This window comes from Homo sapiens, chromosome 13 (genome assembly GCF_000001405.40).
Source record: "Homo sapiens chromosome 13, GRCh38.p14 Primary Assembly".
In the NCBI taxonomy this organism is placed as follows: Eukaryota; Metazoa; Chordata; class Mammalia; order Primates; family Hominidae; genus Homo; species Homo sapiens.
Genome location: NC_000013.11, coordinates 84,544,889 through 84,565,256, shown reverse-complemented (window position 1 = coordinate 84,565,256; position 20,368 = coordinate 84,544,889). Strand labels below are relative to the sequence as shown.

The 20,368-nt window shown below is 34.1% G+C and overlaps 2 long non-coding RNA genes across 3 annotated transcripts in view; one reads left to right on the top strand and one right to left on the bottom strand.

Annotated features, from left to right (window-relative positions):
* LINC00333 (long intergenic non-protein coding RNA 333) overlaps positions 1–20,368 on the bottom strand; it is a 466,167-nt gene that overhangs the window by 41,512 nt on the left and 404,287 nt on the right. Inside the window, exons 4-6 of the long non-coding RNA NR_046871.1 lie at positions 2,794–2,893; positions 2,581–2,648; positions 2,023–2,465 (exon numbers count right to left, since the gene is read on the bottom strand). This is a non-coding gene — a long non-coding RNA (long intergenic non-protein coding RNA 333). The remainder of the gene's footprint in view (positions 1–2,022; positions 2,466–2,580; positions 2,649–2,793; positions 2,894–20,368) is intronic.
* Positions 1–20,368, top strand: part of LOC105370289 (uncharacterized) — a 159,166-nt gene that overhangs the window by 5,761 nt on the left and 133,037 nt on the right. The window lies entirely within an intron of this gene.

The following is a 20,368-nucleotide window of genomic DNA, read 5'->3' as shown; positions in this document are numbered from 1 at the left end:
GAGGCAGAGGAGATTTGGTAGACAGCATAAAAGAAGGTGACATGAAGACAAAGGCAGAAATTAGACTGATGTGGTCATAAATTAAGGAATGTCAACTGCCAGCAGAAGCTAGAAGAAGCCTGAAAAGATTCTCCCCTAGAGAGTTTGCAGAAGACATACTATAAACAGATACTTAGGCTGTACATGCCATACCAGATATTTTAATTCTCCTTGGAGTCTGGTATGTTTAAATTTCATAGAGCCATTGCTAGGAATGAATTCCTGCTCACACCTAGATTTCAGACTCCAGGCCTCCTATAAAAGAATAAATTAATGTATATTAAATCATCGATTTTGTGGTAATTTTATATGGCAGCCCAAGGAAACTACAAGTTTAAATAGCAGATATCACAAATGTTTAATAGGAATTCTAAAAGTAAAGAGTATTTAAAAAGTCGATACTTATAAAAATTCTTTTTTGTTGTTGTGTTGTTTTTGAGACAGGGTCTTGCTCTCTTGCTCAGGCTGCAGTGCAGTGGAGTGATCAGGCTCACTACAGCCTCAACCTCCTATGCTCAGTGATCCTCCCACCTCAGGCTCCTGAGTGGATAGGACTACAGGCATGTGCCACCACATGACTGAGTAATTTTAAGAATTTTTTTTTTAACGACGGGGTCTGCCTATGTTGCCCAGGCTGGTGTGAAATATTCCAGATTGATGAAAGATAGATTAAAGAAGTACATGTCTTGAACAGTAAGAAAAAAATTAATCCATGTTTATATTTATGATAGAAAAACTGTTATAAGAAAAGTAACCACTGTAATTTAACAACACACTCTTAGATAAGTAATAGCTCAAAGAAGAAATCAACAGATATAGTTTAGAATATATTTTGAGCTGAATGATAAGGAAAATAAGACCTGACAAAATTTGTGGGACACAGCTAAGCAGTGCTTCGAAGACAATTTACAGCTTTGAAAGCCTATTATCAGAAAGGAAGAAAAATTGACAATCAATGGTCTCATCTTCCAAACTGAAAAGCTAAGAAAAGAAGAGCAAAATTAACCAAAAGTAAATCGAAAAAAAAGAAATAGTAAAGATTGACTGAAAAATCAGTAATAGAAAACAAATACTAGTAGAAAAAATTAAGAAATCCAAAGGTTAGTTCTTTGAAAATCTCAATAACATTTACACACTCAGTGTGCACAAGAAAACAGAGCATGCACATGGCCAAAACCAGGAGTAAAAGAAAAGTTACTAATAGAGGGGTTAAAAAGAAATTATTTAAGCAGTAAGTAAGGATCAAAGAGTTCTTGGTGGGATTTTTTCTTAGTAAAAAGGCAGCCCCCAAATCATTTCTTTACTAACAAAAAGCAAGCTGAAAAATCAAGCTACAAGCATAGATAAGCAAGCTGGAAGCTTGCATAGGTAAATGCCAGCAGCTGTGTCAATAGAAAAGGGATATCTGGAAGCCAGGTATATTCAACATGGAGGTTTCCTCTTCTCTTTTCTTTGTCGCCACATGTGCAGGTAACATGGTGCCAGCCAGATAAAGACCTCACTTTCATAATAAAAAATTAGGATGGGATGACCAGCTGTCTGGCACACTATGTAAATGACACACCCGGCCCAACCAATCTGCTGCAACTTATGTAAATCAAACACGATTTCCTCAAGCTTGTCTATAAAACCAGTCACATCTTGCCTTAAACTCAGAAGCCCACTCGGGTCCCTTGCCTCTCACAAGGAAGCTCTCTCTTCTTTCGCCTATTAAACTTTCCTCTCTTAAATCTACTCCATGGGTGTCCATGTTTTCAATTTCCTTAGTGCAAAACAATGAACCTTGGGTATTTCCCCAGACAGACAACACTGCTTCAGTACCTCTATAGATTCAGTAGACATAAAAAGAAAATGTTACAAGAATGTTATGAATATAGTATTATGCCAGTTAAATAAACAGCTTAGACAAAATTGATTAATTTCTTGAAAATTAAAGCTGACTAAAAGTAGCATGTGATGAAAAAAATCTGAATGGTTACCTACCTGTAAAATAAACTGAATCTACTCCCATAAGTCTTCCTACAAAGAAATTCAAGACATCAGTAATTTTACTGGTAAATTTTAATTTAAATCAATTATTTAAGAAGATATGATACCAATTTTACTTTCACAACATAGAAAAATGTTACCTAATTGTTTCATGAGGGCAGCAAAATCTTTATAAAACCCTTAAAAAAACTTGACATAAAATATGAAATAACTTGTAAACATAAAACTTAACAAAATGTTACATAGAATCTAGTAATATGTAAATAAATAATATATGATAACTGTCTTAATCAGCCTGGGTTGTCACCAAAGACAAGGTGGCTTAAACAGCAGACATTTTTTTTTCTCACAGTTTTGGAATCTAGAAGTCTCGGATCAGAATACCACCATGATCCATTTCTTGGTGAAGAGAATTTTCTTTATTTGGTAAAGGATATCTACAAAAGAACAGAGGAAGAGGGGCAGGAGCAGGGAAGAGAAAAAAAGGAGAAAACAGAAGAAAAAAATCTACAACTATGATCATACTTAATGGTAAAATATTGAAAGTTTTACCTCTGGAATTGAGAATAACACAAGTGTTTCTGCTTTATCCATTTCTATTCATCATTGTACTGGATACCCTAATTAAGAAATAAAGAAAGATAAAATATATAACGTTTGGAAAGGAAGAAATAAAACTGTTTCTATTCCCACATGACATGATTATTTACAAAGAAAATTGTAAAGATTAAAAAAAAATAACTAGAGCTGGGTGCGATGGCTCACCCCTGTAATCTCAGGTCTTCCGGAGTCTGAGGCAGGTGAATCGCTTGCACCCAGGAGGCGGAGGTTGCGATGAGCCAAGATCACGCCACTGCACTCCAGCCTGGGTAACAGAGTGAGACTCCATTTCAAAAACAAATGAACAAACAAACAAAAAACTAGAACTATTAAGTAGAAAATTTATTACTTAGAATTGACTTTAAGATTTTTAAGGAGGCATAAAACTACAGACAGACTAGAAATCATCCTTCCCATTCCATCTGTATTCCCATTCCAACATTTATTTACACTCATTTATATAATTGTTATAAAAATAATTAGTTTTTTTAATTATTCAACATTAATGTCTGCTTGCATGTCTTTGATATTATCATAGTGCATACAAATGATAAATTTTTAGGTTCAATTGTCTCCAAATGTTTAAAAAGTATCTTCTACAGATGCAAAAGAACCAACACAGCTATAAACAGATCATCATAAAAGAATCTTCCTTTTGTAAGAGGATGTTTGTTTTTAATTACAAAATCAGTGAAAAAGACTAAAAATTTAAATAACAGAGCAAAAGATAAAAGCATTGAGAATTTTATCAATGGTTGATAAAAATATGAAATAAATCATTGATTTCTCAGCTGTCTGGAGAAAAGAGACTCCTTAACACAAAGAAGATCTGAAGATAATCAGGTTTCTTTTTCTCCACCAATCAAAGAGTGGTGTTTTTAACTACCTGATAGAAACCAGGTAACCATGAAACTAACTTTCCAGTGTTGGTATTTGAAACAAGGACAAATAGAAACAGACTATATCTGAGCAACCTGAAATATGAAATTGCAATGTACTGAGTTGGATAAATTGAAGGATAATCTGGTTAGTCACAGGGGGATGTTGAATTAAGGTTTGAACAAGTTTAGTTTCAGATGCTTATCAGAAATCCAAATACAGATTCTAGTAGGTACTTTGATAAATGAGCCTGGAATTTAATGGAAAATTTTGGTAGAGATATGAAGTGGGAAATTATTTATACATGATGGTCAAAGCCTTGAGAATGGGTGAGATCAATAGACAAGAGGAGAAGTCCTAAGACTGTGCCCTAACATACTCCAGTACATAAAGCTCAGGGTTATTAGGCAAATCTAGCCATGGAAACTGCCAAGACCAGCTCTGTTGTGGAGACCCTAACCCAGTGGCACTAGAGGAATTAAAGACACACACACAGAAATATAGAGTGTGGAGTGGGAAATCAGGGGGCTGACAGCCTTCAGAGGTGAGAGCCACGAACAGAGTTTTACCCACATATTTATTGACAGCAAGCCAGTGATAAACACTGTTTCTATAGATTATAGATTAACTAAAATGGGAAAAAAAGGGATGGGCTCTGGCTAGTTGTCTGCAGCAGGAGCATGTCCTTAAGGCACAGAACACTCATGCTATTGTTTGCGGCTTAGGAATGCCTTAAGTGGTTTTCTGCCCTGGGTGGGCCAGGTGTTCCTTGCCCTCATTCCAGTAAACCAACAACCTTTAGCATGGGCATCATGGCCATCATGAACATGTCACAGTGCTGCAGAGATTTTGTTTATGGCCAGTTTTGGGGCCAGTTTATGGCCAGATTTGCATGCCTGTTCCCCACAGAAACTAGGAAACAGTGATTAATGAGGTTTAAAAAAAAAAAGAGTATGATGTCCTGGAAATCAGAACAAACGTGGATTCAGGAAGGAAATAGTCATCAGTTGCATAAAATAATGCTAATAGGTGAAAATATATGCAAATTGAGAATTAAACATAGATGCATTTTTTTTTAAACAAAGTTTTACTGTGTCACACAGGCTAGAGTGCAGTGACTCACTCTGAGTTCACTGCAGCTTCAAACTCCTGGGCCCAAGGAGTTTGGGCCCTCCACCTTAGCCTTCTAAGTAGTGGGAAGCACAGGTGTGTACCGCCGTGTCCAACTTGACACATTTTTATTTTTTGTAGAGACACAGTCTCATTCTGTTGCCCAATCTGGTCTTAAACTCCTAGCCTCAAGTGATCCTCCCACTTCAGTCTCCTAAAGTGCTGGAATTACAAGCATGAGCCATGATGCCTAGCCTATTTTTTTTAAGGTAAATGTATTACAGCTTATTTGTTTACTGATAAGATTGACCTATTAGATGTATAACAGTTGATAGTCGTAGATAATGAGGCAAATTGCTGAAACATTACCCATGCAATTTTTCTCACATTTACTGTGGAAGACTTATTCACAAATTTTAGCAAAATTATTACAGTATTGTAAACCAAAAAATATCTGAGACAGGTCTCAATCAATTTAGAAGTTTACTTTGTCAAGTTTAAGGAAATGTCTTGGCGAGTAGTCTGTGCCTTTCTTTAAAGATGATTTTGAGGGCTTCAATATTTAAAGGGGAAAAGTGGGCTGGAGGAAAAGGAGGACATGGTCATCCACATGTTGCAAGGGAAAATGAGCAGTTTGAGGAATGATCAGTTATGTTTTTGTCTCAGTTATTCAGCACTTTTCATAAGACTACATGAACATAGAGTAGCTACCTCTGATATATTTAAGCTTTTATCTGTAGTTGTCTGTTTAGGAACAAAAGGAAAGGCAGCTCTTTTATGACTCAACTTTGAGCTGAATTTTTTCCTCTTGGCGTAGTGAACTGGAGTCTCGAGTTTCTACGTTCCTTTCACAATATTATTTTATAAGAGTAAAATTTTGAGACGTTTTCAAGATGGATAAAAGTCAAAAGCTTGACTTAGGAAAAATAAAAACTTCCCCCAAATAGTGCAAAATGGACATGTGGTATGCAATAAATACTTAATATTGTCCACAGGTTCTTGGTAACTGTGACTTTAAGATAAACAATATACAATAAATCCTGGAATTACATAGTTTTGTTCAATGACAACTTGTTATAACATTGACGAGGGAAAAAATGGTTTTCTTATTGTTGTAGTTTCCAAAAACTGGCTCACATGTGAAGTGAGGATTTACTGTTGTTATGTGAATAAAAACAATGCATCAATGGATTAGAAAATCTAAAAGTATCTCTCTGTGTGTATGTGTGTGCCTGTGTGTGTGTGTGTGTGTGTGTGTGTGTGTGTTTGAAAAAGAGAAAGACTAAGGCAGAGAATTAAATAGTAATTAATACCAAAATGGTGATTAGGGATAACTATAGTCTTCCCAACTGGATATCCATTTAAATATAAGCCATATTAAATATCTTGTGCAACAAATTTCTTAGAAAAGACTCTTGTAAGATTTAAATTATTTTCTGGTTTTTAAATTTTATGTACAAATGATGGGTGAAAAATTGTATCAAGTTACTTTGAGTCACATTCCTTGTTGAATAGGAAGTTCCGCATCTTTTTTAGGTATATATATTTTAATGTTTTTAAAAGACTTCTTTGTCAATTATATGAAACACAAATGATTGTTTTATAATATGTAACTTGTCTTTTTACTTTTTTAAACTTATACAGAATTCACTTATTTCAATATAGTCAAATTATTTAATATTACATTGTGCTTTATGGTTTTTGGGTCTCTCTTTTTAAGAAATGCTATCCTGGTAGATAACAATATAGATAACTTTGATCTAAATTGTTAGTGTAAATATCCTGCATTTAAAGATGTGAAACCATTGATGGAGTGGCATGTTCAGCTAGATACATGGAGACGTAATTCTTTTAGCAGCTTGCAGATTCACCAGTGAGAGGTGAGCATATGTTTTGTGTTAAGATACAGAAAAATTAAGCTAGCAAATTTATACCAATGCAAAAAAGTTTGTATTTAAATGCTTTCAAATAGATAGTTACCAGAAAAAGACCTTTTTTTTCTCCTCTATTTCTAAATTAAGATACCATATGAGCATCTGTATAGGACAACTCCAGAAAGACAATACTTCACATAACATACCAGGAAGGGCTTGCAAAAGATGGAAGCGATACGATTGGACAAATGCACTAGGAATAATTTTGATTTGGAAAGTTTCAGTTTAGAGTGTGTGGTCTATTTGTGGCTCTTCACCATCAAGGAAAATAGCATCCCCTCAGCACTTAGCCAAACTCCAGTGGTTATCTCATGCTCTATTTTTCTCTTCACTCCCGTCTTGTGTTCACTGAGATACAGGGACTACAGATTTTACTTTATTTCCTTTTCCCACAATTTCTCAATTTCTCGAAACTCACAACCAATGTGGTGATTCTTTTTGCTCCAGTCATCTAATAGTTTCTCTGCCTTCCAGTATGGCTTCCCTCCAAACATCAATGTAATTATGTCATCTTTCACCTTAAAAATCCTTCAGGGCATGCTGAGAACTTTAAGGAAAATAAGTCACACTTTTTGTGCATGGTGGGACTCCACAATCTGCCAACAATTACATCTTTATCTTCCTCTGCAACCAATCCATCTGTATATTTCAATAATTCTCTTAAAATTTATTATCCTCTCTTAGGCATATATACATTTAAATGCAATATTCTTTCATCTTCATGAGCTAAATTTTACTCTTCTTTCAAAGCTCAGCTTCTCTGGCATTTGTAAGTTTTCCCTGACCGTGAAGTCTGATTCTATATCACTTCTCCATGCTCTTGTAACACCTGGTGTTTCTTTCTCGTTTATTGCTTGACACTGAAGTATGTTTAGTTATTTTCTTAATTACTCTAAGTTTCATACATAAAATTTCAATTTACATCAAATTCTCACATAAAACAAACCATGTCAATTGTTTCATTGTTTTCTGATGTATTTGAAGATACAGTCCGTTAAACTTATTTCTTAAATGTTGTATTTTTAAAATTAGGTTGTTGATAGTATATATATGCTATCACTTAAACTGGAATTGCCAAAACACAAGAATGAGAGTCATTCATAACTCCTTTCTCTCATTTCCAATAGCTACTTAAAAAGAAAAATCTTTACATCCAAATGTCTCCTTTGTGCCATTCTGTCTTCTTCTACCTCCAATAACTCAGCTGTGGTTAAACCCTTCATCAGTTGGTTTCAGCACAAGTAAAATGCCTTTTCTATTTCCTATCAAACATTAACAATTTACTCAAATCTAAATGGCTTATTACAACATTTTGTTTTATTCATGGTTTTGTGATTTAGGAAATCAGAAGGGCTTCCTTGAGCAATTTTCATATAGAATCACTCATGCAATTGCAGTCTGATGGCTGTGTTCAATTGAAAGCTCTACTGGGCTCCAGAAAGATATTCTCAGCCATGATGTCTGGCTTCCCCAAGGTGAGTTACCCTAGAGAACACCAGGGAAAAATTCTATGGCCTTTTGTGACCTGCTATAAGATATTACTTACTTCAATTGCATTTTGTTTTCTAGATTACTAAGAAGTCACTAAATTCAGCCCTGATACAAAGGGAGAAAATACAGAAATCATCATTCCTTAAGCAGAGTATCAAAGAAGTTGTAGACTCTTCCCATACCCCTCCATTGTCCACTTTAGGAGAATTCTTCCTATAAGTTTTAATATTCAAAAAACATATTTTTTGTATATATACAGAGATTATTAAACAAAATATTTGGTAAAATAAAATCTAAACTGAATTATAAAATGTGTAAAGCATACATAAAATATTTGGTGAAGTAAAATCTAAACTTTATTATAAAATGTATAAAACACAAGGAGTATGTCATATAGTATTGAGAATTCAACTTCTATAATTAATTATTCTATATAGTTTGCATATTTGCTGCAGGTTTTTTTTTAATTAGAAAAGAAAAAATCATGTAATAAACATAAAGGTTTTCAACAATTTGACTGTTTTTCTTAACAAATGTATGAATATATTTTTACATTTCACTACATATGTATACTTATAGAAGTTTTTCCTATTGTTTTAAAGTTTTCATAAATGTTATGATATCATGCAAATTACGGTGACTTGAATTTCATTTAGAAATTAATCCCTAGTGACACATTTCATTCATATGTATGCATCCTTTGCCTTACCAAATAATGCTGTTTTTTTTTTTGGAGACAGAGTCTCCTTCTTGTCTCTCAGGCTGGAGTGCAGTGGCACAATCTGATCTTGGCTCACTGCAACTTCTGCCTCCCGGGTTCAAGCAATTCTCCTGCCTCAGCCTCCCAAGTAGCTGGGATTACAGGCGCCTGCCACCACGCCCAGCTAATTTTTGTATTTTCACTGGAGAACAGGGTTTCACCATGTTGGCCAGACTGGTCTTGAACTCCTGACCTCAGGTGATCCGTCCACCTCGGCCTCCCAAAGTGCTGGAATTACAGGTGTGAGCCACTGTGCCCAACCCCAAATAATATTCTACATCAGGTAATATAGATCTATTATATTTATACCTATTAATTGAAATTTCAGCTAGTAGCTATTTTTATTACTACCAGATTTTGATAAATTATTTTCTTAGTTGATATTCTTAATCACACCCTTACCAAGCACCTTATAGTTTCTATTCTTCTACACGTCTACTTCTTATTTTCAGATTTTTAAAAACTTTTCTCAAATTATAAAGGTAAAACTGTAGCAGGTTATTTTTACCCGTTTTTATTGTTGCTGTTCTTGTTTTACACTTGTTTTTGTCAAAGGTACTGCAGATACCCTTCTCCCACGATATATGCCTTTTTTTCACTTTATTTTCGTACAAAACTTACAAATTTTTGTGTAGTCAAATTAACTAATTTTACTTTGTCCTTTCTGCTTTTTGGGTTTTGTTTAAAAAATCATTTATTGTTTGACTTCCTAAAAATAGTCCAAATTACTCTTTATATAAATTAACATTATGCTTCTTTCATTCAAGTTTTAAAATCTGCTTTTTAAATTTTAATACTTTTATTCTTAGCTTTATTTTTTAAATTAAATAATTTTATTTTTAATTTTAATTTATTTTTAACCTTCAATGATACACAATTGTCAAATAAAATGCCTGGCTTTCACCTGTGCTGTTTTATGTCTATGCTATAAGTATTTCCTATTTTGGCATAAATTCTAGGATTACATTAATTTACAGAAAGGTTTTATTCACAGTATAAAGAAAAATATGTAAATAAATATTTAATTAAAAGTCATTTTGTTTTTTATAAGCACTGTTAATGAGAATTATGAAATCAAGCTCTCTTCATGTAACCAAAGATATACACACATATGTGTGATACATGCACACTCCATACCTTTAAGTAATTTTATGTGGTAATACTACTTCTGTATGTCACAAAATATATGTATTTCAAAACTCATTGCCATGCAAAAATAAAGTCATCCAAGGGCGAGTTCTTCTGCTACATTGGGATAAGTCAAGAAAATCTTTCTTCACAAATAAGCTTATGTTTTCCATCCTTCAGAAGTTTATGGAAGGTCAAATCCTATTTTGCATTAAAGACTAACTTCAGTGTTTTTATTGTGAGATAATTCAACCCAGCCCAGGCTGGAGTGCAGTGGCGCGATCTTGGCTCACTGCAACCTCCACCTCCCGGGCTCAGGCAATTCTCCTGCCTAAGCCTCCCGAGTAGCTGGGATTACAGGCACATGCCACGATGTCCTGCAAATTTTTGTATGTTTTTAGTAGAGAAATGGTTTCGCCATGTTGGCCAGGCTGGTCTCAGACTCCTGAAATTGTGATCCGCCTGCCTTGGCCTCCCAAAGTGCTGGGATTACAGGTTTGAGCCACCGTGCCCAGTCCCAACCAGCTTTTTAATGTGAACTTGTTATTTGATATAATTAGTCTGGGGGAGACAAAGATGGTATGCTTATAGTAAATACCCTTTAAACAATGGTAAAGTCAAATTTTAGAGTTTTAAGATGTTTTAGGCATCATTGAGTAAGAGGGGATCATTTTGCAAGACAAATACTAAGTTCCAGAAAAAGTAAAGTGCACAGTTAAATTTATTGGTATACTTAGAATTCCAATTTTATCTTCCTAATGGAATGCTTTATTTACTACATCATACTAACATTAAGCTGATTAATTTATTTTACACATTCAAAAATTTGCAAGGTAATTTATTACATCATTATTTTAAACTTTTTAAATAAATGTGAATTATATAAAAAATATCAGTATGCTAGTGCCTGAATATTTCTGAAGTCAACAAGAGCCCATGATGAGAATTTAAAGAAAATATTTCAAAGTAATTGAGATTAACATAATGGAATCACATGTATGCATATTGAACAAATCTGAAGCTGGTTCAAATGATACCTTCTCAAAAGGATCCTAATAGAAAGCATCACTCGTCATGAGGATTATCTTGGATATATTAAAGTTCCAATTATCTGCAGAAAATAAATAATCATTTTCTCTTGGTCTGCCCTCTCAAATTGTGATTCACAGTTTAATTAATTATCAGCACCATTTTATTATATTTAGAGACTTTTAATACACATCTACATGACAATCTGCATTTTTTTGTGCATTTTTGTACAGTGTCCTTTCCAAATAAATGCAGCAAAATGCTAGTTTAGTAATCAAAATTGTAAATACGGCAAGTAAGGATGGCTTAAATATACATCTGGAAGTTCCACTGGTGGTTTTCAGTAGAGACTCCACGTAAAAGCAATGGATCAATTTCAATATCTGCCAGGTAGAAATTTTTCTAACAACTGGGAAATTTGAAGTTGTAAAACATAAAGCATACAAGATAGCAGATATCTCTTCTTGTGATCAAATATTGAAGACAATGTTTCTTACATTGCCACCTTTCCAGAGTCTAATGTAGAAATTTGCTTTTCTTACTATTGACTTCAATCTAAAAATCAGAGGCACAAAGTTTAACAAGTCCTCAAACTAACTTCTCCCTTTTTTTCCCTCAATTTTCAGTTGGTTAAATATTTATAGATTTTGTTGGGCTCATATCTATGATAACTGTTTGGAATATTACACAAATGCATCACGCACATACGTCTGGGTGATGTGTCTTTTTTATCTATGTAACTATGACACTGTCATTCTTAACTGCCTGTGCTCAGCTGTAGTTGAAGACATGGATGCGGGGGGAGACTGTTTTCTGATTTATGACCAATGCCGCAGTTTGTAGAAGCTGGCACTGTGACTGCCTGTTACACCCAAGGTCAGCTCAAAGCCCGAGTTGAAAAAAAATACCTCTTCTTTCTGCTGCTGGGCAGGCTGATACATGTAATGCTTTTTATTATTACAGCTCTGTGGGGTTGCTGAAGTTCTGTTGGAAACAAGCTTTGAAAACTTTTCTTTGCTTGCTGATTTATATCCTTTCTTGGTTCAAAGGGGTGATTGGTGTCTATGGTGTAGGCAGTACATTCTTATTCACAGAATCCAAATTGTCAATGCCCTTGAGTGAATTATTTTGATTGAACCTGTATGAACTTTAGGATACACTTGTGTCAGACGTTTTTATTCATATATATACTGTCCTTTATTCTCCTTTTACATTGTTCACTTGTCCTGTAAATGGGAGCCAGAAATCAACATTCCTATTTCACTTATCCAGTGAGATAGAAATAAAATAAATTCCAGTTGTTGGGATCGTTCGCACTGGTGATGGTTGGATTAAAATGTTTCCTTTGTATGGGAAGCAAATCATTATTTATTTTAAGTGAACAATGTATTTACAGTGACAGGTCCAGAATTATGATTCAAAACAATTTCATGTAATGAGTTCACTCATCTTCATGATTTCATAGATCTAATTATAATTATAGACTTATGTATTTGAATGTGCTACTTTAAAAAGTGAAAATTTGGATTTACAAAAATGACACTCAAAATGATTAGTAATAATTGATTATTTGTTAACTATATGAGCTAATTGTGTTATTATTTAGATGTGATACCTGATAGATGCATTTAAGGTATGAACTGGTTTATAAAAGAAAATTTGAACAATGTGTGGAATCTTATATTAAAGTATATATAAACCTCATATTTTAAATATATATACATGTTACATTGATTTAGTTTAGAAAATTTTGGCCCAGCTTATTGAACAGTAGCAAATATATGAGATTTTATTAATTAATATTTATTTTAAGCAAATATGATGTATAATTCCATCAAGCATTTATACACATAAATACATGAAATATTCTTGTACATTCTTTTTTACAATTCATGTGCAGACAGTGTGGCAAGCATAAGGATAAATTTATTTCAGTATTGTTACACATAAAATAATTAAAGGAAAAGCTAGGATAAACTAATCAGTTAATCAAAACAGGTAGGAAAATGTGAAAATGGAGATATACAATCAATATTAAATGAATGTTATTCTTTTTTGAATTCCAACATATGCCATTTGTAGCCATTGATATCCTGGTTATTTTAATTAGACCAAGAGATTGTAATGAGACTTTTGCACACTTCATACAGGTACATTGAACATCACTTCTTCCTTTTGTTTATCTTTCTTGGCTTTTACCCACTGTTTGTTTCCTAAGGCTACTGTAACAAATGAGAACAAGCTTGTTGCTTTAAAATAACAGAAATGTATTCTTTCAGATTTCTGGAGACCAGAAGTCCCAAATCAGTTCCACTTGGCTGAAATCAGGGTGATAGTGGGACTTTAATCTCTCTGGATGCTCTAAAGAACCGTTCTTTGCATCTATCAACTTCTGGCAATTGCCAGCATTCCTTGGCTTGTAGTTGCATCACTCCAGTCTCTGCCTCAGTAGTTACATTGCCTTCACCTCTTCTGCCTGTGTGTCAAATCTTCCTCTGCCTTCCTTTTATGAAGATATATGTGATCACGTTTAGAGACCACCAGATAACCCAAGATAATCTCCTCATATCAAAATCCTTCATTTGAATCACATCTGCAAAGATCTTTTCCTTGCCCATATGAGAAAATATTCACAGCTTCCAAGGACTAGAGCACTCATACCTTTTGTGGAGGTCATTGTCAAGGCTACTACACAAATTATCCTTTGTTATTACTTTATTTCCCAGCAAGAGTACCTTCCAGTTCAGACATGGATTGGAGACCATTCATAGTTCTTGCACAGCATCCTCTCTCCCTCTTTAGTGTTTTTGCACTTATTCTCCTTCTGCCTTGAATGCTATTCTTGATTTACTTAATTCCTCCATATTCTTCTCCAATTTAGACTAAAACAAACAAATGAAAAATGAACAAAACAACAACAACAAAATGCTCCATTCAGAGGATGTTGGGACTGATTTCTGGTCCTTGTGTTCTGTGCACATTCTTGTAACCTCGTATTGCAGGGTTTTACTTTTTCTTTCTGAGGTACAACTAATATAACTTTCCTTTTTAAAAAATACGGCAGTTGTCTTACTCCCTGACACATAGTAGGAGATCAATATGCATCTATTGGTTGCCTTACTGTGTGAATAGAGTTGACTTCATTAGTAGGAATGGGAATTTACTTTAAAATAGCGTTCTGCCACTTGGGAAATGAGCTAATTGCAGTTAGAAAACTGGAATCACTAAGCTATCTATAAAACAAGTATTGTATTTCCTGTTACTAGAACAGATATTGATAACAAACCATTCCAAAATTATAATGCAGAGTATAAAGAAGGTTTAAAGAAATATATTTTTGTTTGACTCATAATACTTGCGTATAAGAAGGTATTAGCTTCTTAGTAGAAACTTAGGTTTATTTAAAATGAAATGTGCCATGCACCCTGAAGAGGAGTCTGTCTTTCCTGTATTTTCAAAAGATAAGTTTCTAAACATTTCTTAACATATTAAAATTAAAAAAAATATGCCATTCTACAAAATTTTCTCTTAAAACAACATAATGATGATTGTTAGTTTATTCTGTTCAACTCACAATCAATGAAAGATACTCTGAGCTGAGTACTAGGATGGTAAGGGAGGATACAGAGCAGAGTCAGATGTGGTAATGTACTAAGAAAATCTTAATGTAAGAAGACGTGTAAATGAATTAGCACAATAATAGTAGAGTTTGGTAGGTGATACTGAAGTTAAAATATGCTATAGGAACATAGAGTGGAAAGTAAAGTGTATGCATGCACACAGTCCCCACCCCTACCCACACACAGGGGTAAATGTTAATGACTGGTGTGACTCACGTAAGTGCTGTACCCAAAAGGAAAACTGGGAACTTACTAGGCAGTCCAAGTCAGAAAGGGATAACAGAGATTGAAAACATAATAATAATAAAGAAAGAATCAGAGATGTATGAGGAAAATCAAATAGTCTATGTTATGGAGAGCAAAGATTCTCAAATTTGACTAATATAAGAAACTAATTTGAAATACAGTTTACAAGGCTGCCAGGGAGAGTGATTCCTCTGATAGGGCCTGGCAAAGTAAGTTGAAAATCTTCTGAAATGGATTCACCATTCTAGATGCCATTAAGAACATATATGATTCATAAGAGAAGCCCAGAATGTCAACATTAACAGGAGTTTGAAAAGAGTTGATTCCAAAACTTGTAGATGACTTTGAAGGATTCAAAACTTCAGTGGAAGAAGTCACTGAAGATGTGGTGGGTGTGATATGGTTTGGCTGTGTCCCCACCCAAATCTCATCTTGAATTCCCACATGTTGTGGGAGGGACTGGTGGGAGGTAATTGAATCACGGGGGCAGGTCTTTCCCATGATGCTCTCCTGATAGTGCACAAGTCTCACGAGATCTGATGGCTTTATAAGGTGGAGTTTCTCTGCATAAGCTCTCTCCCTTTGCCTGCTGCCATCCATTTAAGACGTGACTTGTTCGTCCTTGCCTTCCACCATGACTGAGAGGCTTTCCCAGCAACTTGGAAGTGTAAGTCCATTAAACCTCTTTCTTTTGTAAGTTGCTCAGTCTTCTGTATATCTTTTTCAGTAGAGTGAGAACAGACTAATACATGGTGGAAATAGGAAGAGAACTAGAATTAGAAATGGAGCCTGAAGATGTGACTGAATTGTTGCAATCTCATGACAAAATTTCAGCAGATGAAGAGTTGCTTCTAATGGATGAAAAAGAAAGTGTTTTTTTGAGATGAATCTACTCCTGGCAAAGATGCTGTGAATGCTGTTGAAATGAAAGCAAGGGATTTAGAATATTATATATACTTAGTTGATAAAGCAGTGGCAGGGCTTGAGAGGATTTACTCCGAGATCTACCGTGAGAAAAATGCTATCAAATGGTATCACATGCTACAGAGAAATATTTCATGAAAGGAAGAGTCAATTGATGAGGCAAACTTTATTGTTGTCTTATTTTAAGAAGTCGCCACAGCCCTCTCAGCCTTCAGGAACCTCTACCCTGATCAGTCAGTGGCCATCAACATTGAGGCAAGACCTTCCTCCAGCAAAGAGATTATAACTAACTGATAGCTCAGATAATTATTAGCATTTTTAGCAATAAAGTATTTTTTAATTAAGGTATGTACATTGTTTTTTTCACATAATGCTATAGTACTCTTAATCAACTATAGTGTAGTGAAAACAACTTTTATATGAACCAAGAAACCAAACAAAATTGTGTGACTTGATTTATTTCAATATTCACTTTATTCTGGTGATCTGGAACTAAAACTGCAATATCTCCAAGACATAATGTAAAAATCTTACTGAAATTAAAGACAAAGGAATATTTGTAGTTCAAAATTTATTTGTTCATTTGCAATAAATACCTTAAAAATACTGCCTTTTCTTTTTCAAATTAGATCCCATAAGAAATGTTAGTTATAGCATTAATGTGCTTGGGAAGTATTTATGTAGCAAAATATAAGCTTCATTACATTGTCATGAATTATAACTTTGTGATCCTAATTATATGTGTATTTTACTATAGAAAGTAGAAGATCGAGAAAAATATATTGTGGGCATTTTTAATTAGGTTTTAGGTGGAAATGTTAATACTATATTTTCAGGATGATACCTTTTACTAAGGAAATGTGAAAAAGAAAGTTAATATGTTGTTGTAGTAAAACTAATTACTATTCTTGTTAGCATACAGTATTTCTTCATTGAAATTTTACTGATTTCATTAGCTGGTCCATTAAGTGCAAATTTTCACTTGTAATAACCAAAATGAATTAGTGACTTTCTTGTTTTGTTATACTGTAAACATAACAGAAAATCTCTGCATATATATATATATATATATATATATATATATATATATATATATACCTGTATATATATGTCTAGCCTGCCTGCTGAGAGCCTTTAGGCATTGCTATGTCTCTGCAGAAACTCAGAATATGCCTTAGGTTTCCACTGCGGAAATTAACATCTCATATGTCAACAGTTGCTGTCAAGTGAACTGAGTCTTTATTTTACCAACACATTTAAACCTTGTAAGCATTTGACTTATATATTTCAGTGTGAGATACATAACATTTTCAAAATGATTCTACTGTACTGTAACTAAAGTTGATATTTTTCCTCCAAATGCTAAAAAAATACAAATCTGTGCTCCCGTTAACAGTTTAAATACAACAGAATTGAATTAGCGACAATAAAAGCCAAGCCACAAACCCACATTTGGCGATCCTCAGACAGCACAAGATTTCGTTATTTCCTCCTTTGTCAGGCAGTGTTTATTTCACTTTAAAATTCTTCAAGCTATGGATCATATATCTCATCTTTGGGGAGACTATTCCACCATCAATACAGTTCACTAGCTACGTCGAAGTCCAACTTTACTGGCTGAGAATCAGAGATGAGTAGAATTTTCTTCTAACAGAGGGGCCATTTGACTCATTTTATTATTTTTAATACTGAACACTGTAGTGAACTAGCCAGTCAACTGTGCAGTCAAAGACATGGACCCGCCCGAAGGACTCGCATCTCAGCAAATGATCCCTTTCCTCTGTCTGGCTGGCCTAGCAAAGGACAGAGAATGCAATCATCTTCATCAATGAACCTGAGGAAAAGCTGAGTAGGCAAGACACTAATCAAATAAGTGGATCTGCTGAGGCTCATCCTTCAACCCCAAACTTTGCTTCTTGAGGGCCTGAAGGAGGTAAGCAGGAAAAAAGAAAGTCTGACAATATGCTGTACTTGCATGCTTCAAATTGGCCCTCTGCAGTAGCATTTCCACTTAGTTACCTTGAGAATACAAAGCAATGTCAGAGACTTACAGATGCCTATTTTGCTTCAGATGGACTTTTATATATAATTTTGCTACTGTCAGAAGCCTTTAAAGTTATGAAAAATCACACCTGTAATTGCAAGCATCATCAGAGAAAGACAAATAGGTAGAAAACCAATTTGAAAATAATTAGTCTTCATAAAGTTCCCCACATAATATTCTTCAGAGATTGTTACAATTAAAACACTCAAGAAAGAATCAGAATCGATCAAAAGTTGAACACCTATGAACTGTGCCACCTTGAGGAAATGATTTCACTTCTCAGCACTTCAAAAGTGTCTGTAAAACAATAATAATAACTACTTCAATAGATTGTTGTGAAGTGTGGTTGAGATAATGCACTCAGAAAGGCCAATCATAAAATGCAATTAACATATGCTATGTTAGATTTTACTTTTTATTGCTAAAACAATCATTAACATATTAATCTTAATCAAAAATTCTTAGAAACTTCTATGTGGTGTTTTGGGAACCGAAAAATGAAAAGTAACTAGTTTTCAAAAAATGAAATAAGAAACTCACATTCATAGGTCATTTTTGCTAATGTCCAGAGTAGGCAAATTATGTAATGGAAAGAGTTCAATGTTATGCCAGATAGCAGAAATGATTGTTTTATTTATTAAATTTAAAATAGTAAATATTAAATAATTTATTCAAAATTTCTTTTCACTATCAGCCTAAACCTTTTTTACATTCTCCTTTTTAAGGGTATCAAGTTCTCACCTTTAAATTGGAATATTTCTTTAAAAAATGTCTAGCACAATCACTGGTATATTGAATACTTAAAATATTCATATGTATATTTACAATAGAATACTGTTCAGCCTTACAAAATAATACAATTCTGTCATTTGTGACATAGATAGAATTGGAAACATGCTACATGAAATAAGCCAGGCAAAGAAAGAAAAATACTGCATGTTCTTGCTTACATGTAAAATTTGTAACAATCAAACTCACAGAAGCAGATGGTAGAATGGAGGTTACAGAGGCTGGGCATTGAGGCGAATGGGGAGATTATGATCAAAGTGTACAAAATATCAGGTGAACAGGAGGAATACATTTTTTTAAATTAGATTTCTATTACCCAGTATGGTGAATACAGCTAATAATATAGTTTGTGTATCTCAAAATTGCTGTGTATTTCAAAATTGCTAAGAATAAATTTCAAATGTTCTGACAATAAAAATATTAATTATTTGAGGTGATGAATATGTTAATTAGCTTTATTTAATTATTCCATATTGTATTCATAAGTTGTAACATCACTTCGTATAACCTCAAAAGAAAATATTATGTGTATAATTAAATTTAGGGAATTTTTTTTTTCTCATGGGTCAAGTTTATACCTGGTAGGGGAGCTGATGAATGGACCCCAATGAAAACACACAATTGGGCATATTTGAAGGGCAGAATTACATCAAGGAGAACAGGAGTGTGAGAAGTTGAAGCACAGTGAGATCTGCAATAATAAGAACTGGTGACTTAGATTCCAAGTAGTTACGTCTAAGAAACTTACACACACACCCTACAGGACAATCAGCATTTGGCGTGTCATGGAAAAGAGAATGAATATTGGCCAAAGAGTTTTGACAGCTAACATCAAGAGAAGTATACAAAAGATCAGTGATGTAAGGGATTATTTTGTCTCCAATATCTCTCTTCTTCTACCCCAAATGCACTGGTAGAATCACGCCTTAAAGGAGAAAGGAAAGATGTGTCTCAGCCAAACACTCTATCCATCAATGAAAATAATTAGCATGTTTAAGGTGACTGAGGCAGTCATATCAAGTGCAAAATTTAAGGCAGGAGATCAAAAGACTTAGTAGTCAACATAAATTATATTAATGTATTTTAAAATCTACATTGAAAAAATTCCATCATGAAAGAAATATAAATATTTTTCATAAAGACAGATTCACCCAGATGCAGTGGCTCACACCTATCATCCCAGTGATTCAGAAGGCAGAGGCAGGAGGATTGCTTGAGGCCAGATGATCATGATCAGCCTGGGCAACACAGTGAGATCCCAATCTCTAAAAATATATATTTTTTACTGCACTCCAACCTGGGTGACAGCGAGACTCCGTCTCAAAAAAATATATATATATATTTATATGTATATATATGTATATTTTAATTAGTTGGACATGGTAGAGTGTGCCTGTAGTGCCAGCTACTTGGGAGGCGGAGGTGGCAGGATAGCTTTAGCCCAGGAGTTTGAGGCTGCAGTGAGCTATGATCACACCTCTGTACTCCAGTTGGAAAACAGAGTGAGATCCCTTGCCTAAAACAAAACAAAACAAAATAATACATATTTAGTCAGAGTCACGACATCAAACGTGTGATGTTGGAACAGAAGTTTGACATGTATTGCTCTAGGCTATCTAATAGCCTAGAACTAATAATTAGGAACTAATAATTGTCATTAATGTAGTTTTTTTAAATTCGTAATACTAATATATATGCAAAAAACCCACTCTGTCAGATAAAAATACTTTATGATAGGTTTTACTTTGAATTCATGCAATTCAATAATCTATTTGATATTTGGGCA